This window comes from Homo sapiens, chromosome 9 (assembly GCF_000001405.40).
Source record: "Homo sapiens chromosome 9, GRCh38.p14 Primary Assembly".
NCBI classification, from domain to species: Eukaryota; Metazoa; Chordata; class Mammalia; order Primates; family Hominidae; genus Homo; species Homo sapiens.
The window spans coordinates 113,560,063-113,587,636 of record NC_000009.12 but is presented as its reverse complement, the minus strand read 5'-3'; the positions used below and the strand labels follow the sequence as shown (position 1 = coordinate 113,587,636).

Genomic DNA, 27,574 nt, shown 5'->3' with positions numbered 1-27,574 from the left:
ACCCTGTGGCAGGCAGCATGTACTCTGGGCAGCCTCAGCTTATCCGCACAGCAGCACAAATGACCAGCCCAAGCTTTCTACGTACTGCGCCCTGGAACCCTTGGGACAACTCCCGGGGGACTCCGTGTTCCATTAATAAGAGAAAACCGAAGCTCAGAGAAAGAAGCAACTTGGCCAAGGTCTCAGAGCCAGGGAGGAGGAGGCAGAGCTGAGACTTGAACCTGGGTCTGTCTGACTCCACAGCCTGAACACTTCACCCCTCCCCTCTTCACCTCTTGCCTGGCATTGCCTAGGAATAGTGGCCCATCAGCATCAGGGGACCCTCCCAGAAGAGCCAGGCCAAAGCCAGGAAGATAGAAGTCATGGGGGAACCTGCCACTGTCCCTCTGCCAGTCCCCCACCCCCGGCCCCTCATCAGCATGAGGTCTCAGAGTCTAGGGCAGAGCCACAGAGGACTGACTAGACAATGGTGAGGCCTTGTCCAGTGCCATCATCACTTGCTGCTGTGTGGCTGGGGACAAAATATCTCTCACTAGCCTCAGCCTCCCACTGTAAGCCAAGTGCCTGTCCACTTTGCAGCAGTGTCAGGAAGGTGAGAAATGGGGTCTGGTGGTACTTCGAATGGCGGCACAGCCAGTACTACCCTGGTTACTGCTCTTCTCCCCCTCCCCCTCCACATAACATGATTACCATTTATGCAGCACCCACCAGGTGCTGAGCGCCAGGTACTGCCCTAAATGTTTTACCTGTGTTAAGCTATTTAATTTTCCCAGCAACCCTAGGAAGGAGGCATTATTACCATACCCATTTCACCAAGGAGGAAACTGTGGCTCACAGAGGGGCAGGGACTTGCCCAAGGCCCAGTACCAGTAAGAGATGGAGCTAGACCACGGTGTTTGTCCCATCCGGGGCTTCATCTCCTCTTGACAAGTTTCCTACTGAAGCTACTGGTGGAAGAGGGCAGGATGTGAATGGCAAAGGGCTCAGGAACTGGTGTGTGGAAGCCACATGGAAGGGTGGCCACCACCAGGCTGGGGGCAGCCTCTGATGTCTCTGCCAGCTCAGCCACTCAAACCCAAGAAAGGAAGTGACCGGCTAAAAGTTGGTGGGACAGGGGAGGGTGCCAGTGGGAACCTTGGGCACCCAAAGGAGGAAGCTGAGACAAGAGAGAGCTGGTCCAGGCCTGCTAGACTCCCAGGCAGGAGTATGTGTCCCAAAATAGGAGCCGAGGTCAACTGAGCTGGGGAATTAGATAAATGCATACATATGAATGTGTGTGAATTTATCTGTATATAAATAGTTTTATTGGAGCAAGTGTGGTGAGGGGAATAGAACTGGGAAGGGTGTAGTGGGGGAATCAGGATTGGGAAGCCCAAGGCAGGTGGGCCTCAACCGCCCTCCAAAGAGGAGTGGCCAGGCCTGATCTGAATGAGCCTGAGGCCTTGCCTTGGAAGGACAGCGTTCCGGACTCTCTCCTGTAGAAACCATCAAGAAATGGCCTAAGATGGTGATATTCAAACTTTGGCAAGATCATGATCCCTCGGGGCATGTTTAAAATATAGGGTCTGGGCACCACCCCTAGAGATTCTGATTCCAGAGTTCTGGGTATGGGGACTAGGAATCACATATTAATTACCTCCCCTTGGTGATTCCGGAGCACACCACAGTGTGAGAACCACACACGCTTACAGATGAGGAAACGGAGATTTAGTTCCAAGGCCAAAGTTCAAGACCCTTTTCTGGAGGGCCCCAGCCTGCCCTGTCAGAATGACTAGCTTTCAGCAGAAGGCATCTCCCCAGAAGGTAAGTCTGCCTTCTTGCTAGTGGCTAAGAAGCTAAGCAGGCTTCTGAGGACATGTCCCAACTTGGTGAGGAAGTATGCTGGAATCCATTAATGATGTCTGCCATGGGTTGGAGGGAGGAATAGCAGCACCTGTGCCAGGCATCTGCCCTTTAGGAATGCTCTGCTCTAGCCAAAGAATGCTTGCCTCTACCTCTCTGTTTATTCTAATCCTGTTCATCCTTCAAGGCCAAGCTGAGAGGTATCTTCCTCCAGAAGCTTTCCCTGATGGCTTTAGGCCCTGGGGTCTGTCCTCCTGAAGTTCTAGATCTCTGAGTCAGTTGTGCTCCATGGGCACTGAGCACCCCTACTCACCTAGCCTCACACCAACACCTTGCACTGGCTGTTGCATTTCAAGAGAAGGAGTGGGGCCCAGCATTCCCTGAGGGCCGCCTCTCAAGCGGCTAGTGTTATCAGGCACCAGCCTCTTCCATTCATCCTCAACCATTCTGGGATGTGAGTGCTATTAACCCCTACTTTTCAGAGAAGAAAACTATGGCTCAGAGGAGTTGAGTGACTCAACCAAAGCCACATAGTAAGAAACAGAGCCCAGACCCAAACTAGCTGGTAGGCTTCAAGATCATGGCGCAATCTGTTCACTGTTAGGCCACTTTCAAGGCTCACACAGTTAACTTATTTCTCTCAGGTTGAGACCAGCCTCACACACTTCTGTGGCTCCTGCCATGTTGCAGAGCGCAGGGCCTGGTACACAGCAGGAAATCCATAAATACTTATTCATCTACATATAAATATTCACGAGAGGCAAACGGTGTGGTGGTTGGTTAAGAGCACTGGCCCTGGAACCAGATTCTAATTCTAGTTCAGACACTGATACACTGTGTAACCTGGAGCAAGTTAGATAACCTCTCTTTGCCTCGGTTTCCTCTGCTGTAAAATGGGCACAAAAATACTATCTACTTCAAAGGGCTGTTGTGAGAGTTAATGAGTTAATGTAAACTGCTTAGGATAATGTGGACACGGAATAAATGTGTGTTGTCATTGTGACTGGCTGATGGATTTCTAGTCTGGCTAGGCTGTAACTCTATTTCTCCAGCTACTATCTCAGATCTTTTAAATCCAAATACACAATGGCCTGGGCTAAGCTACACCTGCTCTGCTTTCTGTGGGGACCAGTGGAGCTATAAGAACACAGCATCTGGAATCCTAAAGTCATGTGTTTAAGTCCATGCTCTGCCTTCTTGGTCCCATTGGGCCTCAGTTTTATCTTCTGTCCAACAGGTGGAAAGTTCGCTGGGAGGCTGCCAGGATAGTGGGGGTGGAACATGGTGACTTCTCATTCCCTGCAGCCCCTGGGCCAGCCCTCCCCACATTGCATGTATCCTTCTCCCTCCCCCTTTAGCTTTCTCACCTTCCTGTGTCCTGTGAAGAAGAGGGAAAGGTGGTGCATGGAGCCACCATTGCGGCCCAGCTCTTTCTTGAGGGTGCTGGGCGAAGGCATGCCCCAGGTGGAGGCGGCGCCCTCACCGTCTGAGCAGTGCAAGGTGGTGTCGGAGGCAAAGCAGGGCCCTCGGGGCTCCTGCAGCAGGCTGCCCTCGCTGTGCGTCCGGCGCCGCAGCGAGTTCTGCACACGCAGTGAGAGGCCACCCTCAGCCCCCTGGCCCGTCTCGATCATGCTGCTGCGCTTGGCCTCACTGCGCTCTCCGTAGTTGTCATCGCTGGTGTCCTCATCCTCGTCCTCCTCCCCTTCCTCCCCCTCCTCCACCTCCTCGGCCTCTTCTGCATCCTCCTCATCTCCCGAGCAGCCCTGCTCTGCCCCTGCCTTCTGGCTGTAGGTGCTATCCAGCCGGACCTCAGGGATCACGAAGGCTGGCCTGGGGGCCGCAGGTGGGTCCCCAGTAGCTGCTAGTAGGTCCCCGGAGCTCATGGTGTCCTCAGTAAGGGCCTTGGCTGGCAGGGAGACCTGGCTAGGAGGCAGATCTTGACAGGGTGGAAGGTCCCGGGTGGGGGATTCCTGGATGGCAGGGAGGTCTTTGGTGAGTAGAGGGTCCTGGTGAGGCAGGGGTTCTTGACCAGCAGGTAGGTCCTGGCAGGGTGAGAGGTCTTGGGCTGGAGGGGGTTCCTGGCATGGTGGCACATCCTTGCTGGGCGGAGCATCTGGGCCTGGAGGGGATCCTTCAGAGGTAGCTGAGTCTTTGCTGGACAGTGGTTCTTGGCTGGGAGCGGGTTCCTGCCCAGAAGGGGAGTCCTTGTTGGGTGGAAGGTCTTGTCCTGGAGGAAGCTCCTGGCCAGGAGAGGGCTCCTTGCTGGGTGGGGAATCCTCGGCACCAGGCCCCTTCCCTTCCTCCAAGGCCATCTCCCTCTTCTCATCTGCCTCCGTCTCAAACATCTGGGAAACAAAAAGAAAACAAGAACAGTTCAGAAGAGGAGGCTCCAAGATGCCAGACACCATGCATGAGCTGACATGAAATCAGGCAGTGGCCTGAACCCCGGGCCCCCAGTCTGAAAGCTGAGGTGCCAGATGGAACCCCCAAAGCCCCTTTGACTTAGCTGGGTAACAATTCTCACCCTGTCTTCTTGCTTGAACTTTCTGCTCCATCAAAAACACAGCTGGTCATTTATAGGAGAAGAGGGAGAGATAACCACTATCTATCTAGCTCCTGCTTTGGCAGGTGCCAGGCCAGCTTGACCCCACTCTCTTATGTGGCCTTCCCGACAACCCTATAAAAGAAGCATCACTGTCCCCATTTTACAGAAAAGGAAACAGGGTCAAAGTTGCCTCTGGGGATAAAGGAGAACCAGGCAGTCTCTGCTTATGGACCAGAACCAAGCCAGGGCAGTCACTGAACCCAGCCCAGGGTGTCTTCTACCTGAACTCAAGTTTAAAAAATCCTAATGAGTCATTCAAACAAGAATGTGCTCTGAACGCTTAAGTATCTTTTTGAAACTATTAAACTGGAATGAAACCGGAACTTTAAAATATTGTCCACACCTGGACTCACCAGATGTCGCAGACACACGGAACCTCCCTGAAGAATCACCCACCCAGGGATTTTTAAACTGCTTGGAGGAAGCTCAGGGATTCCTCAAAAAACACAGCATCTCCTGCCTCACACACAACCCTCGGGATCCTAGGGGGTTTTGCTGAGTTTCGACAGTAGATTTCATGTGCAAAGAGAAAAACATTTCTCTTAATGAAAGTCTGAATAGCAGCTATGTCACCAGAAGATTGGGGCCCCGAGAAAGTCAGGAGTGTCCATGGTGCCACAACCACACAGGGAGGCAGTTCTCAAGTCTGGGGTGGGCCCCTCCCAGTCAAGGACCAGGAATGCCGGAGCTGGAACTATTTATTTAGAGCCCAGGTTCTGTCTTCAAGAAGCCATAGCTGCTGAGAACTAATGAAAGGGAAAGACCTCACCCATACTCGGGAACTGAACAGATGCTTGGGAATGTGTGCACCTGCGGGCACACGCGCACACTGGCAGAAAACTTCAGGGGTAAGTACCCCCAGAACATGGGTTAAGAGCTCTCATTGTAGAAATCATTAATGTCCATTTGATGGATGAGAAAACTGAGCCCAAAGGCCGGTGACTTACCCACTATTGTACAGCTGCCCTGACAGCCAAAAGCCATGCTCGAAGCTGAGAAGTCTTTGAAGCCCTGGGGAGTCTGTAATGGTGAAGCCCCACAGCTGGGAGTCAGTGTTCAGCCATGGCTTGGGGCAGCTGCAGGCTGCTGCACACACGTGTCAGGGGTCACGCTGGCATCTGGGAGCACAGATGTGAGCGGATGTGAAAGCTCGGCACGGGTAAGAGCCACAGCCTGGGAGTGTGAAAGTGAAAGTGGAGCCCTGCAGAGCAGAGAAGGTGGCTGGGCAAGGGAGGGGAGGCCTTGGAGGACTCTAGCGTGATCTGGCCAAGGTCGGGAAGGGCACGCCTTAGGCTATGGCTCACAGGCCAAAGACAGGTGCCTGCTGATGCTGTGGCCTTCTTGCCCTGGAAATCCTGCCTGCAGCTCAGAGGTGACTCCACACAAGGGCCCTCTCAGACCTCATAGCCTCAGACTCTGAAACAACAGCGATCCGAAATCCCCACTGCATAGACAGAAAGGCTGAGGCCCAGAGAGGAGCAAGGGGCAACCTAGAATCACACAGAGGTGTCAGGTAGAGCCAGTCACCAACCTTTAGGCCTCAAGGTGTCCACGTATGAAATGGGATAACCAGCATGCCTGAGTAACAGATCAGGAGCGTATGCTGGAAAAGCTGGAAAGCTCGAAAGCTCCTACAGAAGATGGTGGTGTTGGAGTTAGTGCTTTAAAAAGCATTGATCTAGAGGGAAATTCTGAAGTTAAGGACCTCAACCAGAGGCACGTGTTTCCCACATACACCAAATTTTGCCAAACACCAGAGTCAGTGTTGGCAATTGTAATGTCAGGGCCTCCAGTCCAGAATTCTCATCTGGAAACTAAGGGCTGTGCTTCAGTCCTATCAGGCTGTTCCCAGGTGGACAGAAAGACCCTCCATTGGGTAGACAGGAAGGCTGAGGGCCCAGTCTAGACAGTGACTTAGTGACTTGCCCAAAGCCACCCTGCACAAATTAGGGGCTAGGCTGGGGCCAGAGTCCAGGCCTTCTGGCCCTGTTCTTCTCAAGCCCACTTCTGATCTCTGTCCCCATGAACAAACCAGTCCCCAGCCCATCGCCCCACCCACCAGGGAGCATTCTCCATCAGGAGAAACAAACTGCCCTGCAGCCAGCTCCCTGGGGCCCCTCAGTCCTATCACCCTACCACATGGCCAGACCTCCCCCCGACCCACCCCCTGGCCCAGCCACCTGCCTCTGATAGTCCTTGGGGAAAGACGGAAGGAAGCAGCAACCGGGTGCCCTCAGGGCCTGGCACGGAGTGGCACAGAGTGGCACTGAGTGGGGAGCGGGCCGCATTTCCCCTTTCCTGGGTGGTGAGGGTGGGGCCCAGGCCTGTCCCAGTGGTGACTGTCAGTCAGAGCCCGCCCACCCCTTGGGGAAAGTGCAGCAACAAACCCAAAACCAGAAATGCAAGTCAGCCTGCCTCTGCCAACCCTGTTCTAAATCGAGGCCAAACCAAACAAAGCCAGGAGGGGAAGTGCCACTCAGGCAGGGGTACTGCCCCCAGAGGGCACCTACCCAGAGAGATCAGCCGAGAAACTAACCAAGATGGAAGGGTTCTCAGAGGGCCCAGTGGTTATGTGCTCAGATACCCGAGCCAGGCTGATTTTGATCCCAATGGGGCCACTTTTTAGCTGTGCAACTCTGGCCAAGCCTCTCAACACCTCAGAGCCTCCGTTTCCTCATCTGGAATTGAGCCCAGTGATATCATACTGGACTCACAGGACTATTTGAGTCTCCTCACAGTGCCTGGCCCTGGAAAAGCTTTTGATACAATGGGAGCTATCAGTGGTCTTATTTTAGAGATAAGAAACCTGGGGTCCCAGAGGGTAAAGGAATTACCTAAGAATGAGAGGCTGATGCAGGATTAGAACTCATATCTCCTGCCCAGGGTCTCTCCCTGTTTCCTTGGAGCCTTACACACAAGTGTTTGGGGACCTCAGAGGGCTGTAGAAGGAGGAGGAACAGCCTGGAGTGCTGCCTGAGGCCCCGCACCTGGGTGCATCCCACATCAGCAGATGCTGGCGAACAGGGCCCAGAGCTCATGGTTCTTTCTGTGCTCCCAGGCAGGTCTGTATGAACAGGGACTGCGTGCAGGTTTGGTAAGGCCCCTGTTCTTGGGAGAGCTGGGGTGGGAAGTGGTTTGACGGGAGCTCCGGAGCAATTATAGGAAACCCGAGAAACCCAGGGGTGGGAGGGTGGCAAGTGTAGGAGAAAATTAGGGCAGGAGGGGAGGCAAAGATGAGGGGGAGGTTGCAGAACACATGGTGGGCATGGGATTTGCCCTGTGAGCAACGAAATGCCACAGGCAGAGCTGTGCTGTGTCAAAGCTGCTCTGGGGAATGTGGGCAGGATGTGTGGATGGCAGGGAGGACTGGGGCACGCATACATTCATGCATTCTCCAAGCACTGAGGTAGGTACTAGGAGGACGGCAGGGAACAAGTCAGACACAATCTCTGCCCTCAGTTAAGTAGAAAAAACAGAGGTTAGACAACTAGTTTGAAGGAGCATGGGGACTGCTCTGATAGAGGAAGTACAGGCAGCTGGGGACCCAGTGAGACAGCTGTTGCAACAGCTGAAGTAACAAGAATCCAGCCAGGGCGCCCCAGGAAGACCAGCTTGCTCACCCAGGGCCTTGGGTCTAGAGTGCTGGAAGCCACTGCCCCACCCTCCCAAGGTGGGGGTCTGTGTCTTTCCCATCCATCACTTCTTTGGCTTGGCTGGACCAGGTTAATTCTGCCCATGTCTCATCTGCTGTAAGCACACAGGAAATGAACCAGGCCCTCTAAATGGAGTCACTGTTTAGGACCTAATCAAATCCTCTCCCAAATCCAATCCAGAGCTCAGAATAGGCTAAGGAGGGATGGCAGCTATGACACCCAGAGTTCACACTCATACCAGCTTTGGCTCCTGGGCCCCAGATGCCCACCGGATGTTGGGTTGAGGGTAGTGGTGGGCTGCTGAAAGTGACTTGTCCAACATCACACAGCTACTCACTGAGCAGCCAGGTTTGCTGACCCAGGGACAACCTGCAGCTCTCACTCCGATGATTCATCACAGCCACCACGGATGCCGGGCTCTGCATCTGCCCTCGAAAACCACTTCCTGCACTGGGGGGGTGTAAACTGGGGTTTGCCTCTGTCTCAGGGTGGCCCTTAACAGCCAGGATTTTACTGACAGAGCACTGGACATGCAGCCAGAAGACCTGGACTGGAATCTTCACTCCATCATTTGCTAGCTGTGTGATCCCAAGCTACCCCACTCCAAGCTTGGTTTTCTCTGCCATGAAAGTGGGTGAGGATGCCTGCTGCTTCCTGTGCCAGAGACCTAAGGGGACCAAGTGAGAAAGGGCAGGAAGGCACTCTGTGAACTGTAAAGTCCTTTGAGAAAGGGAGAGGCTGTTAGAATTCCTGCCCTGCCTTGGACCCCCAGGCTTTCAAGATGGGCTGTTCCTTCAAGCTTGGCATGCTCTGGATCCCTAGCCTCAGGTCCCTGACTCAATGCTAGCTTCCAGGAACCTTGATGGCTCAGCTAACACTTAGCTCTCCTGGCTCAGCGTCAGCCCAGCTCCTCCAGGTCTGGCCTCTTGACCACCCAGAGGCTGACACCCCCAGTCCTTCCTCCGCCACCAGCTCAGAGACCCTCCAGGCCATACTCCTCTCCCCTCTACCTCCACTGTCTCCAACACAGCAGGTTTGGCAAAATTCAGGAGGATGGAGGCGGTACTTACATTAGGGGGAGCTCCAGATACTAACTTCACACTTACTTGCTGGGTGACCTTTGGCTTAACCTTTCTGTGCCTCAGTTTCCTTAGCCATAACATAGGATTTCTAGAATCTCCTCACAATGTTGTTAGAGGAATAAATGAGCTAATGAGTATCCAGAGCTCAGCACCATGAGGGCACCCATGAGCACTCAATAAACGATAGCCATGGTCACTCCAGCACAGCGTGGCCTTAACATCTCCCTCCCTGAATTTCACCCCTTCTCCACCCTCTCATGGGCCTGTCTGCCTGTCCATCAGGACCTGCTGCAGGGCCCCTCTCATCACAGTCCTGTCCACTCCCTTGGGAACCCACCCACTCCCCAGGCCACAATCGCTATCTGCACCATCTGGCCACTGATGACTCGCAGTCCACTCTGCCAGCCCTGACCGCTTTCCTGAGTTGAGATGCCACAGGCAAGTATTCAACAAATCCTCATGGAATAGTTCTGCATCCAGACACTGTTCTAGGCTCTGTGCATAAAGGAAGGAATAAGAAAGACATGATCCTTGTCCTTGTGGAGCCTACGAACTAGAGAGGAAGGAGGGATATTGACCAAGTCATCACTGCCATAAACACAGGATAAACAGAAACCAAGATCTGCAGTGTGAAGGAAAACCCTCGGGTGCTGTGAGAGAGTCCAGGGGAGTGTTGGGAAGGCCGCCCTGTGGAATGGCTGGAGACCGAAATCTGCTCAAGGGGCAGGGCGGGGCTCACTAGGGGAGGAAGCAGCATAGGCCAAAGCCCCGGGCCAGGAAGAGCCTTAGCATGCTGCTGACACAGAGGACAGCTGTGTGGCTGCATCCCAGGGACATGGATGGAGACCTCCTTCTGCATATCCCATCAGTACCCCCAACTCTACAAGCCCTACACTGAATGTGTGATCTCCCCGCAAGTCCATCATTCCTCCTCTAATGGTCCCTGTATCAATGAAGCCACCACCAGTTGCCCAAACCAGGGAATTGGCCATCATTTTCTCCTTTTCCTTCGTGACCACCCCCATGGTCAATCCTCAAATCCTGATCATCACTTATACAACTTCAAGGATCTTTTTACTAGGGAGGTTGGCAATAAGTAGGACAAAGTATATTGGAACTCTCTGTACTTTGCACTAATTTCTAAAGCTAATTTCTAAAAAATAAAAGTTGAGGCCAGGCACGGTGGCTCAAGCCTGTAATCCCAGCACTTTGGGAGGTCAAGACGGGTGGATCACCTCAGGTCAGGAGTTCGAGACCAGCCTGGCCAATATGGTAAAACCCTGTCTCTACTAAAAATACGAGAATTAGCCAGGCAACATGGCGCGCACCTGTAATCCCAGCTACTTGGGAGTCTGAGGCAGGAGAATTGCTTGAATCCAGGAAGCGGAGGTTGCAGTGAGCCGAGATTGCACCACTGCACTCCAGCCTGGGCAATAGAGTGAGACTCTGTCTCAAAAGTAAAAAATCAAAAAATTAAAAAGTTGATTAATCTTTTTTAAAAAGAATGTTTCTACTCTCTCCATGTCCACTGCTGCCACTTCCCTCTAGACCACTGTCATCCCCCACCAGGATGATGTGGGGCTCACAGTGGCGGTGCAGACCCCACTGGCCATTCTCTGTGCTATGTCAGGGGAGCTGCCTCCATGCAAACCTCAACTTGTCACTCCTCTGCTTAAAACGTTGCTGTGGCTGGCTCCCCAATACCTCTCAGATAAAGTCCAAATTCTGTAGCCCTGGAAGACCCTGGGCTCTGTCTCCCTGTAGCCTCACGTCTGACCACTCCCCACCTGAAGTGTTTGAATGAATAAATGAATGAAAGAACAATCGCTGGGTGCGGTGGCTCACGCCTGTAATCCCAGCACTTTGGGAGGCCAAGAAGGGCAGATCACAAGGTCAGGAGATCGAGACCATACTGGCCAACATGGTGAAACCCCGTCTCTACCAAAAATACAAAAATTAGCTGGACGTGGTGGTGGGCGCCTGTAATCCTAGCTACTCGGGAGGCTGAGGCAGGAGAATGGCTTGAACCCCAGAGGCGGAGGTTGCAGTGAGCCAAGATCACGTCACTGCACTCCAGCCTGGTGACAGAGCAAGACTCTGTCTCAAAAAAAAAAAAAGAAAGAACAATCCAGTGAACTTCACAGGACCATCTAGACTCTTAGCCTCAAAGTGCAGCCCAAGAGCCAGCAGCAGCATCACCCAGGAGCTTATATAAAATACACACTCATTTTTTTGTTTTTGTTTTTGTTTTTTTTGAGATGGAGTCTCGCTCTGTCGCCCAGGCTGGAGTGCAGTGGCGTGATCTCAGCTCATTGCAAGCTCCGCCTCCCGGGTTCACGCCATTCTCCTGCCTCAGCCCCCCAAGTAGCTGGGACTACAGGCACCTGCCACCACGCCCGGCTAATTTTTTGTATTTTTAGTAGAGACGGGGTTTCACCATGTTAGCCAGGATGGTCTCGATCTCCTGACCTCATAAAATACACATTCGTAAACCTCAATTCACACCCACTGGATCGGAACCTGCACTTTAATAGGATCCCAGGAGATTCATTTGCACATTAAAGTTTGAAAAACACCGACCTAGACTATTGGTTCTTAACGGAGAAGTACACTTTAGAATCACCTGAGGAGTATCTTAAAAATGCCTGTCTGGACCCAATCTAAGACCTACTGCATCACAGTCCCTAGGAGTAAGGCCCAGGCCTTTTTACTTCTTTCTGACTGACGAGACAATTCTGGAGAGTGGCGTCAGGTAACAGGCAAGGTGACTGTCTGTTACGTGAGGCCCAGAGAAGGGAAGTGATAAGGCCAAGGTCATACAACAGAATCAGCACTAAAATCCAGCCCAGAACCTCGCCCAGGACCAGTTCCAACACATAGAACCCTCTCTATAGTGGGGAGCCTGTGCAGAAGAGGCATGACCTTGGAGCAGGACGGGGGAGGTGGCAAGTTCCCTGGAGGCAGCTGCCCATTCACGTTCCCTAAACAGAGGCCCCACTGCAGGAGGAGAGAGGGGCAAAGGAAGAATTCGACCACAGACTGAAGCTCCTCTGTCAGAGGCTCAGGAGGGCGGCACACCACAGCAGGGAGTGCACCCACTCTACAGAAAGCAATACTGAGGCACAGAAGGTTAGCTCACCCCCGCGCAGGGACTCTCAGGACAAAGCCAACACTCACAGAAAGGGAATCCCTGAGGAAAGAGGAGACACGAGGGCCCCCTCAGAAAACCTTCCTACTCTTGGCTATCGCCTGACCAAGCCAGAAGGACATGCCGCTTGCAGCCTGCTGGAGACCCACCACCACCTGCCTGGATGCCCAGCTTCTCCCAGGGCGGGGAGGCGGCTCCCGGGGTCTGGGTTTCAGCACGGTGCTGCCCTGTCACCCCCTCACCAGGTCCCTTCTCCTCTCGCCTCCATTTCTGACACCACTGCTTCAACATGGGTGGACTCGTAGTCTTTGTCCCCACCCACCACCCCAAACACCCCTTCTACTCCTCCAGCTCTCTTCTCTGAAAAGCAGGGAGTTGAGAGTTGAGAGCAGGGGGGTTCCTAGCTTCTTCCTGAGCTAGTGGTGACTGATGCCTTGTGAGAAGGGGAACTCCAGGCCCCCTGGGGCTCTGCTGAGGAACCAGTCTGCCTGTGGGATCCATCCTCACTCCCCTTCCCACCCGGCACCCTGCTTTTCTGCCTGCTCCGTGTGTGTGTACTGGGACCTCTCATTTCCCTAAGCTCTCTATCCCTCAAGTCTACTTCCTGCCCATCCCTGTGAGCACTGGTTCAATCTGCCTCGGATGCCCTGGCTAGAAGGCTCTCTGCTCCCCTGCCAAGACCCAGCCTGCCCTGCTGTCATGGCCCCGGGCAGGTCCTGTTTGGCTCATCAGGATCATGTCTGGCTTATTCACACCATTTCCCCCAAGACTTACTCAGCAAATACCTACAGAGCTGCAGCCATGCGCCAGGGCCTGTGTTGGCTATTGCTGCCAAACAGCAACAAGCCATGTTCTCTGCCTTGGAGATGCCAGGTCCATCTCTCACCCACCTGCTACCATGCTAGGAGGCTGTGGAAGTAGAGGCAGCAGGGACAACTAGGATGGCTCTGGGAGGAGGTAATAGGGGGGAAAAGATGGGACAGGATATTCCAGGCTGAGCCAGAGCCAGCAGGGAACATTCAAGGAAGTGGAGGTGGTTGGATGAGGCAGGAGCATGGATATTTTAAGGAATTCCAACGTTACCCTGAAAGCAATGTTTACTTAGCGCTGCAGAGGTAAGGAAGGTGAAGCTAGAGGTGTTCAAAACAGATAATGATGACAAAGATAGGGGAGAGAGAGAGATCATTAACTGAGCATCTACTGCATGCCACACACTGTGACAGTTGTTTTATACTTTAGGCTCTACTTCCAACAATCCTATGAGATCAGTATCATTTTTAATAAGAAAACTAGGAGTTAGAGACATTAAGTAACTTACACAAGATCAAAAAGCAAGTCAGTGGAAGAGTCAGAATTGAAACCATGGTCTGCCTGACTCCAAAGCCCTGCTCTTTCTACTCCTCTGTGATCTCCTTTCCTGCCGTCTTCACTTCCTCCTTCCCTTCCTTCAAAGGATGCTTCCTGAGGACAAACCTGGGCCTGGCTCTGTGCTAGGCAGTGGAGAGCAATACCAGACGCAGGGGCCCCGCTCGGACTCCACATGGTTGGAGACTGAGGGGCAGGAGACTGACACCTGGTGTTGGGAGGGGCAGTGCAGAATTCTGTACACCCAGTGACCCTCCCAAATCCTCTCCCTCCCAGGGTCCCCTTCCAGGTGGGGAGAGCTAGAAGCGTGTGGCTTCTCTGTGATGTTTTCTGCTAGGTTAATCAAAGAAGCTCTGCCATGCCAGGATGACCTCAGGGAAGGACACAAATAGCACTGCAGTCATGAGGTCAGCCTTTGGAAGCAGGAGGGCCTGGGGGTGAATCCCAATTCCTATCCATGTGCCGCCTCCCTCACAGCCAGTGTGCCGCTTCCTCACGGCTGCTACGGGGCATATGGAGGCAGTGCCTGGCACACAGTAGCCCATGGTGGTGCCCCTCTGCTCCTTGCCTTCCTCTCCACAGCTTGACTCTCTCATGAGTGGGCACCAGGGACCAACCCAAAAACTAAGGTTTTACTCCAAGCAACAGCTCTGAGAATAGGGAGGACTGAAAGCCAGAGGTGGAAGGAGGGAAGCCTATTGCTGATGAACAACTGGGGCTTGGAGATAGGCAAATCAAGCTTCAAACCCTGGCTCTGCCACCTCCTACGTCAAGGTACCTGCACAGGCTGCTTAACCTATTCAGGCTCGATTTCCTCATCTGTAAAATGGCAATGTGAATACTGAGTACCCACATCACAGCTCTGTGGGGAGGGCTTAGCATAGGGCCTGGCACCTAGTAAGTGCTCAATAAGCATCTGCAATTTCTGTAATCATAATTGTTACTCTCATGACGATCATCGACATCATCAGCTCCCTCTCCTGCATCCAATTCCGGGACAGGGCACTTGACGTATTCTGACCCTTACAGCAGCCTAGGACAGGAGTCCTGTTAGTTGCAGGTTTCAGGGGGGGAAACTTGGAAGCTGAGAAGGCAGATGAGTCTGTGCTCAGCCTGCCCCTAGGCTGGGTCAGTCTGGCTCACTGCATGGCCTGGGCCAAATCACTCCCCTCACTGGGTCTTGCTCTTCCCAGCATGTCTGTCCAGTTCTGAATCTCAGCTAGCCTAGAAAGATCAGAGTTCAGGGCCCAAGGCATAGCCAGGTCTCCTTGTGGGGGCATCAAGGGCAGGAGGAACAGAAAGGTCCCCCTTTCCAGATACACACCCTTGCCTTATCTGTCTGCCCCAGTCTGCCCCACTGCCCTCCTCCTTCAGGGCCTGCAGCGCTGGGGGCACTGGGTGGTGGTGGGGTGCCCATCCAGTAAAAAAAAGAGGCTTTTTCACTCGAGGACACTGGAGTGGACATGTGGACATGAGACTAAGCCACAACCCTGTGGCCGAAGGTCACCCTCCCGAGCCTCAGGCACACTCAGCCTCACCGCTGCCTCCTGAGGCAGGCACACCCTATCTCTGCTTGGGGGTGATGTCAGGGCTAGGTTTGGCTGAATTTACAGTCTTCTCCAAACCCACCCTCCTGCCTCCCTCTGTCATGAGACTTTCTCTTATCTCCCTTGGCCCTGCACCAACTTGCCTATATTGGTCTCCTGCTCAAAATGCCTTCATCCCTCTAGGATAAAGTCCCATCCTCTAACCCTGTGTGTTCTGCCCCCGCCAACCTCTCCACCACACCGTTTCTCCTCTTTTCCCTCCAGCCAGTCTGCTACACTCTACCCTCAGGCCCCTCTAAACCTATGCTCACACTGTACGTCCTGCCTAGAGCACCTTCCCCTCCCCTGTCCACCTGCTGAAGCTCTACTCATTCTTCAAAATTCAAGTGACCCACCCACGTATTGCCCCTCAATTTCTGACAAAGGTGACATTGCCCTATAGTGAGACAGGATGGATTTTGAATACATTGAATATTTATCCAGAGAAAATGAGTCTTGACCTCTACTTCATACATGGATAAAAATCTATTTCAAGTGGATTTTAGATCTAAATATGAAACATAAAACATCTAAAAGAATACATAAAAGTATATGTCCATAACCTTGTAATAAGCAGAGAAACAGGACTCAACAAACACTCTCCATAAAAGAAAAAAGATTAACAAATTGGACTGCATTAAAATTAAGAACTTGTGTTCTTCAAATATACCCTTAAGAGAGTGAAAAGGCAAATCCCAGAGTGGGAAGAGATATTTGGAATGTGCACATCCAACAATAAACACATATCTACAATATCGTTTAAGCTCCTACAAGTTAATCAGAAAAAAAAATCCAATAGGAAAATGGGGGAAAGACTTGAACAGGCACTTTTCAAAAGAGGTCATCCAAATGGCTAATCAACACATGAAAAAGGGACTCGACCTCACCAGACATCAAGGAAATTCAAATTAAAGCCACAATTAGATATCACAATATCTAATACCAATAATGTTGGTACAGACATGGAATAATAGGCTCTTTCATGTACAGCTTAAAGGGAGTATATTCCTGTCACACTTTGGAAAATAATATCATGGTATTTACTAAAGCTAACTCTCTACAACTCTATGACTCAGCAATTGCAAAACTTAGGTATTCACCTAACAGAAGCAAACATAGTATATCAAAAGATAAGTACAAGAATATTCATAGCAGCACCATTCATTATAGCCTCAAACTGTAAACAACACAAATGTTCATCAGCAGTAGATTAGATAAACTGTGGCGGTATATTCATACAAGGAAATACCACAGAGCAACAAGAATAAACAAAATAAAGCTTGATACAATATTATTGATGAATCTTGCCATCAAAATGCTGATCAAAAGAAGTCAGCATGAAATAATATGTACCCAATGATTCCATTTACACAAAATTCAAGGATAGGCTACGCTCATCGATGAGAGAAGTCAGGACAAGGGCCGGGTGCAGTGACTCATGCCTGTAATCCCAGCACTTTGGGAGGCTGAGGAGGGCGGATCACCTGAGGTCAGGAGTTCGAGACCAGCCAGGCCAACATAGTGAAACCTGTCTCTACTAAAAATACAAAAATTAGCCGGGCATGGTGGCACGCGCCGGTAATCCCAGCTACTCAGGAGGCTGAGGCAGGAGAATCACTTGAACCTGGGAGATGGAGGTTGCAGTGCACTGCACCCCAGCCTGGGCAACAGAGCGAGACTCTGCCTCAAAAAAAAAAAGAAGTCAGGACGGGGTTACCTTTGAGGTCATAGTAACTAAAAGAGGGTTATTTGTGGGGATTCCTAGGGTACCAGAATGTTCTATTTCTTGACCTGGATGGGGGTACGCTTTGTGGAAAATTCATTGGCTGTATTCTTCTAATTTTTCTGGAAGTATGCTGCACTTCAATTTAAAAGGTTTATTTTAAAAACAAATAAAACCCCTCATCCCAGTGTCTCCTCTTCTGCTCCCTGGGCTGAGGCTCACTGCTTCTCGGTGAGCTCCTTGCTTTGTACACATCTCTGATTGCGCATTCCAACTGTTTCCCTCCAGCAAAACGCTGCCGCGCTGCCTCCTGAATGCCTGCTCAGTGTCAGATCCACGCCAAGCACCTCACCTACATCGCTGCATTTAATAACAGCCACCTATGAGATGGGCGCTAGTGGCACTCCCACTGCTATCAGGACACAGAATCCATTCACATGAAACATGTCTAAGTGCTTTACAGCTATTATCTCATTTAACTCGAGGAGGCTAGACCACTGCTTGAGGACATGAAGGCAGGAGAAGCTCCATTCTTGTCCAAGAGCACAAGACTGTAAGGTAGGAGAGATCCTTCCCTCAAGTCCAGAGCCCATATTCCTATACAACCTCCCTAGACAAGGAGGAGCATGTGGCTGGACACACAAAAGCAATTTCCATGGATAGGCGGGAAACATGTCTACACCTCTGAGGGGTGGATAGACTGGGATGGAGACCTGCTCTTCAATGGGCAAGCATCTGTACAATCACATGCAGCTTCACCTCTTGTAGGAAGCTTTGCTGAGGCTCCCAGGCTGAACTGAGTGCTTCCCTGGGGAGTCCCACAGCACCCCCCTCCCCACCCCATGCCTCTCCATTAAAGCTGTGTTGTTACTGTCCATTACCTGAACATCCTGGCACTAGATTAAAGATTGGGCCTTTTAGATCTATGCCACTAGTAATTTGTAAGTACATGGCACACAGTAGGTGCTTAACACACATGGAAGGAAGGAGGGAAGGAAGGAAGGAAGGAAGGAAGGAAGGAAGGAAGGAAGGAAGGAAGGAAGGAAGGAAGGAAAGAAGGAAAGACACGGAAGGGAGACAGGCAGAGAGGACAGTACAGAGCTGCTGCTATTTGAATCAACTGGGAACTGCAGGAAGTGAGGTCTGAGAAGTGAAGATTTCATGGCCTGGCTGAACATTGCTTCCAACCCTTGACTTGAGGGGTGGCATAGCCATGCCACCTCCCATTCCACAGTCCTTCTCCTGGCTGCCTTCGGCCTGCTGTCAAGGTTCCTGCCAGCCATGTGGTCCCCAGAGGCACTGCCAAGACCTTTCTCTGCCTCTCTCCTTGTTCCCTTACCCTCTGCCACCCTTCCCTGAGTCCCCGAGCTCTGCTATTTGCCCAAGGCTAACCCCAGTAAGAGGTAACTGAGGACACCACAGAGAGCCCTGGCTATGTGGCGAAAAGCATGCCCAGTTCCAAATACACACCCCCCTTTCTAAGTTGGGAGCCGCTGACAGTTCTCCGGCAGCAGCCTGAGCCACGGTACCAGGTGCAAGCGGGCTGGCCCATGGAGGGCAGGGAGAGGGGAGAAGCCCTGGGCCATCTGGAGCATACCTGGCAGCTATCCACACATCTCGAGTGATGACTTAGGCCCACTGCCAGAAGGAAGAGCATGTCCTGGGACCCTCTTCCCTCTCATCTGTGCCCGGAAGCTCTGATCTCCCAAGAGGCTTATGGCTCTAGCACACCTCCCACCATCCTGCCCCCATCCCCACTCCAATCCTGGAAGCCAGGGTACAGCTGGTTGTGCAGGGGCAGGCAGCACTCCCTGAGGCTGAGCCTGGCTGGTCTGCTGTGAGTGGCTCCAGCTTCTCCAGGCTTAGGGGGCTGAGCCATAAGCAGCCTTGTTTATTCCTGGGAGGAATGATGGTTTTCCCTAAGCAATGACATCTTGGAAACTGCCTGGCTCCACAAACAACAACAAACCTCCCAGCTTCGGCTTGGGCTGCAGCTTGCATGCGAAGGCTCCTGCCCAGAGGCGCCTGGGGAACAGGCTGGGGGCTGCTTCTCTGCTGCACCAAGCCCTGGCCCTGACCATTGACTTTTGGAAGCCAGGAAGAGGAGACGGCCTGCAAAGAATCAGAGAACTGGATATTTGGAAGGCACCTGGCAGTACTTGGTCCAGTCCCTAGTTGCTACAAAGGAGAAACTGAGGTGAGAAACAAGGCATATTTGCCTGAAATCATCAGTAAGAAGGGACGAGAAGGTGCCGCAGTCTCCAGCCCACCGACCAAGGGGCTTTGTCTATTGCACATGCTGCTTTTCCCAGAGGATAGCAGGGCTCTAGTCAGTGAGCCCGAAGGTCCAAAAGGGACATGTCACTGGTGAGTCCAGAAAGAGAGCCCCAAGATGAAACCTGGATACTCTGAGACATCCAGTTGGTGCAGTACAGAGAGGCCTGGGCAGGGGAACCTGAGTTCTTGTCCCTGATTTCCTGCTGAGTCGCATGTCACCTCAGGCAAGTGTCCTTCCTCTCCTGCCTCAGTTCTCTATCTATCTATCTATAGTTTGGTGCAAAAGTAATTGCGGTTTTACATTACTCTTAATGGCAAAAACCGCAGTTGCTTTTACACCAACCTAATAGAAGGCAAAGAGACTGCCATCTCCAGGGCCTTAAGAGGCCAATGGGAAGCAGCTCTCAAGGCCCCCAGGGACCCAGCTGGGGATAGGCACTCTCTCTTCAGCTGTGCCTCTTCTGAGGGAGCCACACAGACCACTGGCTTGAGGATCAATAACCCCAGACCTACTCTGGTTGGCACCATCCCAAGAGGGTCCAGGGAGCTGAGCTCCAATCCCCTGTAGTCTGTGCAAAGGTCCTTCAGCATTGCATTTCAACAAGCCAGGGCTATCCCCTCCACCCTCCATGGCCCAGGCTATGCTGTGAATTCCACCTAGCCCAGCATGACCCCTGAGTGGATTCTCCCTATGGTCTCCGCCAGGATGAAGCCAAAATTCTCCCCGCCTCACCTCCTATCAAACCCAGCCCCATCCCTTGGCCCTATGGATGCAACTTTGACATTCAGAGCCTAGGCCTCTCCTAAAGGGGCTCCCCGACAGGCCCTCTATGCCAGGCACAGAGCTAGGAGATGGGCGGACACAGCTGACTTGCATGTCACTGTTTGTCCTCAAAGAAAACCTGCCCTAGCCAGGACAATGCAACGCCCCTCTCCAACCATGCCCCAGGCCCCTGGCCAGGTCCTTGCGACTAAGGAATGAATAAGGCCCAGATTCTGCATACATAGGACACAAAGCAATATCCATGGGTGCCACCACCAATGGACAGACTCATTCTGGCTGGAGTATTTGCTCTAGTTGTGGAAGTTTGGATAAAATAAGACATGGAGGGGGAGGGGAGGGGAGGGGAGGGGAGGGGTTTCCAGGCAGCTGGAACAGCATTTGCAAAGGCAAGGAAGCCTGGAAGTGCAATGATTTCACTGATACCACATACTTATAATCAGAAGTCCCATCAACAATTTCTGGCTCAAAGCCCTGGAGACTTCTCACGAGGAGTGGTCACTTGCCTCAACTGCCTCATCCTCACAATCTGCCTGCTTCTCAGAAGCCAGTCTGGGCTTGCAGTGAGCCCTGTTGTGGAACTCGGCTCCCTGAAGGGCCTGCCCTAGGCTAAGCCACACCATGTGCTAGGGCTGGGGAAGAGGGGAGGTGCCCCTTGGCTGGGCACAGAGGACTCAAGGGGCCTTGGTGGAAACTTTGACTATGCCTGCAGTGCCCTGGCTGGGATCCCACAGGCACCAGCAGGGCAGCCTCTGCGGCTCCTTCCCTTGAGGAGATGTACCCACTCTAGCACTGGGAGAGGACGCCAGATAGCCACCCAGCCAGAAGGCCTGAGGGCAGCAGGATGTGGAAAGTTTTCAAGCATCGCTGTGGGGCCTGGTGTACCAAGCCTCTCAGGTCAGGAAGGTCAGATTTGAAGCTGAATTATAATACTTAGTTCAGGTCAGGGAAATGGTTTCCCACATGTCCTGTTCTTGCTGTTCTAGGAGGCAGAAGTTCTCTATCCTGGTCCCTGCTCAGCCACAGACCTGCTGCTCAAACTTGGACAAGGCTCCTCCCCTTTCTGGGTCCAGATTTATCCTCCTGCCCTGAGTCCTAGGGTTCAAGGGTTCTTCCTGGACACCTGGGAACAAGAATAGAGATGTGGACCCTCCAGGCTGGGAAAAGAATTAGCCTCTGTCTGCTCACAGTGGCCAGCTCTGTGGTGTGAGCCTGTCTCTACCACCACCCCCTGCCTGATGGGTCTCAGCTGGAGCCAAGGGAGCAGGTGCAGGCCCTCTCCCATGGGGTTGGAGGTCAGAGGCAAAGCATCTTTGCTTGTGCTTCCAGTGGACGTTTCAGCAGAGGCCGTCTCAGGGACCAAAGGCAACCCGCTGAGACTAGTTCCAGAGACCACCTCTTCCCCTGCCAGTGAAACTAGACACGAGCTTCCATCCCTGGTGCCTGGTGTGCGGCCAGCACCCCTGATACAATAGCCAACCCTGCTGGCTGAGCGCTCCCCTCCCATGCAGTGTCCCGACTTTTTGGCCACCAAACATTTCTTGTTTCTCTGAGAAAGAAAAGCTGGCTGTCCAGCCTAGAAGTGGGGAGCAGCCAACAGAGGAAGCATCCCCCAAAACTTGCAGGGCTCCCAGCCCCTGAGACAGACAGACAGACAGACACACACACACACACACACACACACACACACACACACACAGAGCTATCTCAGAACAGAGCACAAATGGTTTGGTTGCAACATGCCTATCAATGGCTGCCCTGGGGAAGAAACAATAGAAACAGGGGCACAGGGTGGCTTGGATGCCCGCCCACCACACACACAGTCCTGTCACCAAGGTACCTACCCAGCATACTCCAGCAGGGACCCAGGCGACTCCTGGCTGCCGCTCCTGCCAGCTCGCCCGCCCAGGTTTCCACCCGGCTCCTCCCGCAGGCGGGCGGCCGTGGCTGTGGCAGCTCCTGGCGGCCGTGTCAAGCGGCTGCCTTCCCCAGACAGAGCTCCTTTGTGTCAGCAGAGCTATTTATGGACTTACCCAAGTTCCCCAGGGGAGCGATACCTGCTAGGAAAAGCAGAACCAAATGACCAGGTTCCACCTCCCACATCTAGGTAGCGCTTTCAAAACCCTTGCATCACCCGTCCCTCCTCCTCTTCCTCCTCCTCCTACTTGTCCTCCTCCTCTTCCTCCTCCTCCAGCGCCTTTCCCAAACACACACCCTGTCTAGCCGGCCACCGCCACTCTGGAGAGAGGCTGGATTTCTTTCTTCCATTAAACAGAAAACTCTGTGGTTTCTCAAAGCACTTTCATCCGAGATGGAGTCCGGGATGTCTCAAAGAAGAGGGTCCTGGGCCAGCCCGTCCTTCTGCCCACCCCGCGAGGGGCCCAGCTGGCTCCCGGGTTACATGCTCACACGCATAGGCTGTGGGTCCCCTGTGGCTCATCCCCAGGGCCCAAGCTGGCCCCAAAGTGCTGCTCCGGGGGAGAGGCGTCCATCCCTCACAACGGCACCCCCTGGCACTGGGATCCCTAGCAGGCTCCACCCCACACACATCCTGAGGGCTCCCAGGCTGGGGCAGCGCAAAGCCGCCTCCAGCCGGCCTGCTGGCAGCCGCTCCCTGCAAGACCAAGCCAATCACCGAGGCACCGAGGCTTCCCTGTCACACCCCCACCCCGACGCTGTTCCTGTCCCAGTGGGAGGCTGCAACTGAACCCAGGCTCCTGCAGCCAGCACACGCTGACTTCCAGAATGCGACTGCCCCCAGGGTGGGGGGTGGCAGCTTCAGTCCCTTCCCAGCACACAGCTGAATCTTTGAATGCTAAACTCTGCAGAATCCTATGTGGAAAGAGAACCTGGGGCTTCCTCCCCCGGAGACAGCCAGCTGGGAGGGCAGTTTGGACTGTAACATCCTGTTACAGTAATATTGGCTATAATGAGAGTTACAGCCCTGAATGACAGAGACATCCCCAAGGAGGAACTGCGGGGGCAGTGGAACAAGCCCTGGACTGGGAGGAGAGGGTCCCCAGCTCCAGTTCCAGCTCCAGCACTGGTTAATTGGGTGTCACTGAGCAAGTTCCTTCCCCTCTCTGAGCCTCGGTTTCTTCATCTGTAAAAGGAGGCTGCTAACCTTAACCTGCCCACCTGTGGGATGAATAGAGGATTCTCTGAGCTGGCTCTTGGCTACCCTTTCTTGAGCATGAACTCCGTGCCAGGCCCTGTTCCCAGAGCTCTGCCTGCATTAATTCACTGAATCCTCACCAGCAGCTTGTGAGGAGGGGAGGACTATGATTACCCCAGTTACAGATGAAGAGTCCAAAGTACAGAATGGCAAAGGAAGTTGCCCACAGTCACATAGCCAGTTGTCTGTATAGCCAGGACTGAAAACTAGTTGCTCCTACTCACCATGCCCGCTCTTAACCACCATACAGCCAGACAACTGCAAGATGCTGCTGTGCCAGCACAGAGCTGTTCTCTGGTGCTGCAGTTTGTCATGATGTTGACAAATGCACCCTGGGCTGTCCCTGAGGCCCAAGTTGGGAATGCCCAACTTGTGGCTGGCTCCCACCAGAGCAGCAGGCATCCTGGGATGATGGCACAGAAAAAATGGACAGAAGGAGCCTCTATTTTCCCATGCCCACCCCACCCACCTTGGCCACCTAGGCTGAAGCACGGTGTCTCTGTCTCTTTCTCTCCCTATGGTAGAGACCCCCCAGGGTCTCGGGATGTTTCTGCCTGTATCCCTGCCCCTGTCTATCTCTGACTCTGTATTCCTGACTCTCTCACATACACAAGCATATACATGCACACTGCTACAAGAAAACATTCTTTATCGGGTCGACTCAGAATAGCCCTCCTCTGAGTTGGTCACTTACAAACTCCAACCAGTGTTTCATCTTGTCCCTGGGGGCAGAACCAAGGCAGTCCTTGCAGGGCCTAGGAACCTTCTAGACTGGAAGGCTGTCATCCTGCTGGCTCCTGAAAAGCAGGATTCACCCTTGGCCTGGGAAGCTAAGGAGGTGAGTCTCAAGAGATGGCCAATTCTGATGGAGCTAAACAATCACCAATGAGGCTGGCTGGTTTCTAGGATGGAATTTCTGGTGTGTGGGATAAGATTTCTTAGGGTGGGGAGCCTGAATATAGGATTCCTTCACGTCAGAGGTGCCCTCGAGCTTCAGCTGAGTTGTCACCTTCTTTCAATCAACAAACAGTTACAGAGCATAGACTCTGTGCCAGGCTCTGTGTTAGGCCCTGGGGATTGGCAGAGAACCAATAGGCAGGGCCCTGCATTCACAAAGCTGACAGTCCAGTGAGGGAGGCAGACATTAGCCATGGAGTGAGACTAATGACTCCAAAATTACGCCCTATGCTGTGATGGGCAAAGCAGCTCTGCCAACCCAGTGTGCTGAGTCCAGAACGAGTCCAGAATACATTCATCAATGCTCTGGACCATAGCATGGTGAGGAAAGGGTAGAGCAGCTCAGTGCCCCAAGGCCCAGAGCCTGCCAGGCCAGGATAGGAGAGCATCCCATGGCTGGAGGAGCCCTGGGGCAGCCACTGCCCTCTGCCTCCCATAGCTCCAGACACAAATCAACAGGGCTGGGGGGCCTCCCAGTGTATAGCCTAGGGCAGGATAGGGGAGTCACTGGCAGCCAGGCTTTCTAAGCCAGAGGGCCCTTGGAGATCTTTCACTGTTGTTTCCCATTTACAGTCAGTGAAACTGAGGCCCAGAGAGGGAAAGTAACTTTCCCAAGGAAACACAGCAACTGAGTGGCAGGGCTGGGATTGCTAACTCCCAGTCCAGTGCTCTGTTCACCACATCCCAGTGCTTCTCAGAGGTACATAAATGATGGTGCTGTTCAGTACAGGAGAAACTGGGATCTAGAGAGTGGTAAGATCTAGGTGGCCCACAGGCCCAGGGGTCAGCACCCGGGTACTCAGGAACTGGGCCCCAATCACTGATCCACATATTTCATACATAACAAACACTTATCTGACACATGACAGCACTGCTCTAAGCACTTTCTGATTACTGATTGATGGACTGATTGATTGAATCCTCATAGCCCTATCAGATATGATTTCTTTTTTTTTTTTTTTTTTTGAGACAGAGTCTTGCTCTGTCACCCAGGCTGGAGTGCAGTGGCACGATCTTGGCTCACTGCAACCTCTGCCTCCTGGATTCAGGCAATTCTCATGCCACAGCCTCCCTAGTAGCTGGGACTACAGGCGTGCGCCACCACACCCAGCTGATTTTTTGCATTTTTAGTAGAGGTGGGGTTTCACCATGTTGGCCAGGCTGATCTTGAACTCCTGGCCTCAAGCAATCTGCCCGTCTCAGCCTCCCAAAGTGCTGGGATTACGGGCAAGAGCCACGTGCCCAGCCTCAGATATGATTTCTAATATCCCCATTTTATGGATGTGTAAGCAGAGGCATAGAGAGACTAAGGTCACACTCTAGTAAGTTCAGGGCTACAGATGAAGCCCACTTCACTTTCCACTGTGTCCTGCACCATGGCGCAGGGCAGCCCATGGAACAGATGAGCCCATCAGTTACACAGAGAACTGTACAGCCCAACCACACAGGCAAACTCCACACTGTTCAGACAGGTTGGCAGCAGCTCCCAGGGCTAGGACCAGCGAGGTTCAGCAGGGACCCACCTCCTATTTTTGGAATACAGTACCCCCAAGCAGAGCCCAAGTCTTTAGACAGGCCCCAGGGGGGATGCAGCAACAGCCTGGGATGCAGCCAGGTGCCAGAGACAGGCTGCTCCCCTACAGCCCACACCACAGTGAGATTTCCGCTGTCTTCCTTTACTGCTTCCATTGCGTGAAGACCAATGCACCTCATGGGTTTATGCTCCCAAGACCCCATCACGAGCATGTAATTCAGCACTTTGGGAGGCTGAGGTGGGAGGATCATTTGAGCCCAGGAGGTCAAGACCAGCCTGGGCAACATAGGAAGACTCCATCTCTACAAAAAAAAAAAAAAAATTAAAAATTAGCTGGGCATGGTGCTGTGTGCCTGTGATCCCAGCTACTCAAGAGGCTGAAGTGGGAGGATCGCTTGAGCCCAGGAGGTTGAGGCTGCAATGAGCCGTGATAATTGTGCCACTGCACTCCCAGCTGGGTGACAGAGCAAGACCCCGTGAAAGAGAGAGACAGAGAGAGAGAGAGAGACAGAAAGAGGGGGAGAAGAAAGAAAAGAAAAGGAAAGGAAAGAAAGAAAAAGAAAAGAAGAGAAGGGAAGAGAAGAGGCCAGGCACAGTGGCTCACACCTGTAATCCCAGCACTTTGGGAGGTGGAGGCAGGGGGATAACTTGAGGTCAGGAGTTTGAGACCAGCCTGGCCAACATGGTGAAACCTCGTCTCTACTAAAAATACAAAAAAGTAGCTGGGCATGGTGGCATGTGCCTCTAATCCCAGCTACTTGGGAGGCTGAGGCACAAGAATTGCTTGAATCTGGGAGGTGAAGATTGCAGTGAGCCGAGATCACATCACTGCACTCCAGCCTGGGCAACAGAGCAAGACTCCATTTCAAAAAGAAAAAAAGAGAAAGAGAGAGAGAGAAGTCAGGGAAAGATGTGGTCCCAGGAATTCCAGAGCACTTCAGAGTAAGACTAGCCCCTTGCCCCTGCCAGAAGCTGCTTAGCTTTCATCATCCCCAGATACCCCAAGACTGTGCTGGGTACACACCGGCTTCAACTTCTGCAGAGCCCTGCCACTGTCCCAACTCACTGCAGAAGAAAGTGACCACCCCAGGCTGCTCTTTGAAACTCTATGGAAGTGTCTGTATATGGCCACCCCAGTCCAAGCTTTGAATCTGCTAACTCACTTAGAAAGCTCTGAGCTTTTACTTCCTGGGGCTCACAGCCCTGGTTTGGGAGTCTAGAGACTCTATGCAAAAAGGCCCTCCCCACTGCAGAGTCGGCCAAGAAATGTTAATTAGTTATTTCAATAACCACTGAATCCCTGCTCTGTGCCGGAGCCGGTACTAGGAACTAAGGATACAGAGCTGGCCGGAGCAGCCCGCCCATGGGATGGAACTTGGAGGGGGTCATGGCAGATGAAGCCGCTGATGCTGCAAACGGGGGCTGCCATGCTGTGTTTTGGCCTCTAGGACCCTAGCACCTGGGCAGGGGACACATTCTCCTATTGCTTGCTTGGTGTAGGTCTTGCTCTTCCTGGTGGCACGGGCCTTGTTCTGGGGCACCTGACACAAATGGTGGGGTGGGGTAAGACAGAGCAGGTATCCTCAGGTTCAAGTTCACAGGGAGCTGTGGTTTGTGGCCTGCAGAACCCAGGGTAAGCCCGTTCCCCTTCCTGATCTCAGTCCTCCATCTCTAAAATGAGACCAGGAAGTGGTTGTCCAGTGGCCCCAGCCCTACTCCTCCCCTCCCATGGACAGTCCCATGCCCCTTCAGGCCCTCTCACTAAAGGAATCAGCTCAGTCAGTGGAATTTAGAGAGAGCACAGTCTTTGAAGTCTAAAAAATCTGAGTGTAAATTATCCTGGGCA

The 27,574-nt window shown here is 52.8% G+C and overlaps 1 protein-coding gene across 10 annotated transcripts in view, besides 11 other annotated features; it reads right to left on the bottom strand.

The window, feature by feature from the left end:
* The window catches only part of RGS3 (regulator of G protein signaling 3), a 153,009-nt gene that overhangs the window by 10,102 nt on the left and 115,333 nt on the right, over positions 1 to 27,574 (bottom strand). For 5 of the 10 annotated variants that reach the window (NM_144488.8, NM_001282923.2, NM_001394167.1 and 2 more), the window contains one exon: positions 3,210 to 4,187. The exons of 1 other annotated variant lie outside the window; for it this stretch is intronic. In NM_144488.8, coding sequence (NP_652759.4) covers positions 3,210 to 4,187 — 978 coding nt within the window. Of the gene's footprint in view, positions 1 to 3,209; positions 4,188 to 5,394; positions 5,566 to 6,631; positions 6,710 to 21,906; positions 22,120 to 22,276; positions 22,581 to 27,574 lie in introns of those variants that run through there. 4 more of the 10 variants (NM_001351526.2, NM_001282922.2, NM_001322215.2 and 1 more) reach the window with 4 other exon arrangements.
* Positions 67 to 844: an enhancer, noted in NCBI's record as "H3K27ac-H3K4me1 hESC enhancer chr9:116349073-116349850 (GRCh37/hg19 assembly coordinates)". NCBI's record gives its function as "activates a minimal SCP1, AML or CMV promoter by ChIP-STARR-seq in primed H9 embryonic stem cells {active_cell/tissue: H9 hESC(primed)}" and the evidence as "EXISTENCE:reporter gene assay evidence [ECO:0000049][PMID:30033119]".
* Positions 5,160 to 5,668: an enhancer, noted in NCBI's record as "H3K27ac-H3K4me1 hESC enhancer chr9:116344249-116344757 (GRCh37/hg19 assembly coordinates)". NCBI's record gives its function as "activates a minimal SCP1, AML or CMV promoter by ChIP-STARR-seq in primed H9 embryonic stem cells {active_cell/tissue: H9 hESC(primed)}" and the evidence as "EXISTENCE:reporter gene assay evidence [ECO:0000049][PMID:30033119]".
* Positions 5,160 to 5,735: a biological region, named in NCBI's record as "H3K27ac-H3K4me1 hESC enhancer GRCh37_chr9:116344249-116344757".
* Positions 5,566 to 5,735: an enhancer, noted in NCBI's record as "active region_28851". NCBI's record gives its function as "activates an Ori minimal core promoter by ATAC-STARR-seq in GM12878 lymphoblastoid cells {active_cell/tissue: GM12878}" and the evidence as "EXISTENCE:reporter gene assay evidence [ECO:0000049][PMID:35858748]".
* Positions 5,896 to 5,945: an enhancer, noted in NCBI's record as "active region_28850". NCBI's record gives its function as "activates an Ori minimal core promoter by ATAC-STARR-seq in GM12878 lymphoblastoid cells {active_cell/tissue: GM12878}" and the evidence as "EXISTENCE:reporter gene assay evidence [ECO:0000049][PMID:35858748]".
* Positions 8,427 to 8,516: an enhancer, noted in NCBI's record as "active region_28849". NCBI's record gives its function as "activates an Ori minimal core promoter by ATAC-STARR-seq in GM12878 lymphoblastoid cells {active_cell/tissue: GM12878}" and the evidence as "EXISTENCE:reporter gene assay evidence [ECO:0000049][PMID:35858748]".
* Positions 12,989 to 13,038: an enhancer, noted in NCBI's record as "active region_28848". NCBI's record gives its function as "activates an Ori minimal core promoter by ATAC-STARR-seq in GM12878 lymphoblastoid cells {active_cell/tissue: GM12878}" and the evidence as "EXISTENCE:reporter gene assay evidence [ECO:0000049][PMID:35858748]".
* Positions 21,735 to 22,455: an enhancer, noted in NCBI's record as "H3K4me1 hESC enhancer chr9:116327462-116328182 (GRCh37/hg19 assembly coordinates)". NCBI's record gives its function as "activates a minimal SCP1, AML or CMV promoter by ChIP-STARR-seq in primed H9 embryonic stem cells {active_cell/tissue: H9 hESC(primed)}" and the evidence as "EXISTENCE:reporter gene assay evidence [ECO:0000049][PMID:30033119]".
* Positions 21,952 to 22,031: a silencer, noted in NCBI's record as "silent region_20205". NCBI's record gives its function as "represses an Ori minimal core promoter by ATAC-STARR-seq in GM12878 lymphoblastoid cells {active_cell/tissue: GM12878}" and the evidence as "EXISTENCE:reporter gene assay evidence [ECO:0000049][PMID:35858748]".
* Positions 22,014 to 22,308: an enhancer, noted in NCBI's record as "tiled region #4137; K562 Activating DNase matched - State 4:PromP, and HepG2 Activating non-DNase unmatched - State 1:Tss". NCBI's record gives its function as "activates a minimal TATA promoter and a strong SV40 promoter by Sharpr-MPRA in K562 cells, with weaker activation in HepG2 cells {active_cell/tissue: HepG2 | K562}" and the evidence as "EXISTENCE:reporter gene assay evidence [ECO:0000049][PMID:27701403]".
* Positions 22,456 to 23,177: an enhancer, noted in NCBI's record as "H3K4me1 hESC enhancer chr9:116326740-116327461 (GRCh37/hg19 assembly coordinates)". NCBI's record gives its function as "activates a minimal SCP1, AML or CMV promoter by ChIP-STARR-seq in primed H9 embryonic stem cells {active_cell/tissue: H9 hESC(primed)}" and the evidence as "EXISTENCE:reporter gene assay evidence [ECO:0000049][PMID:30033119]".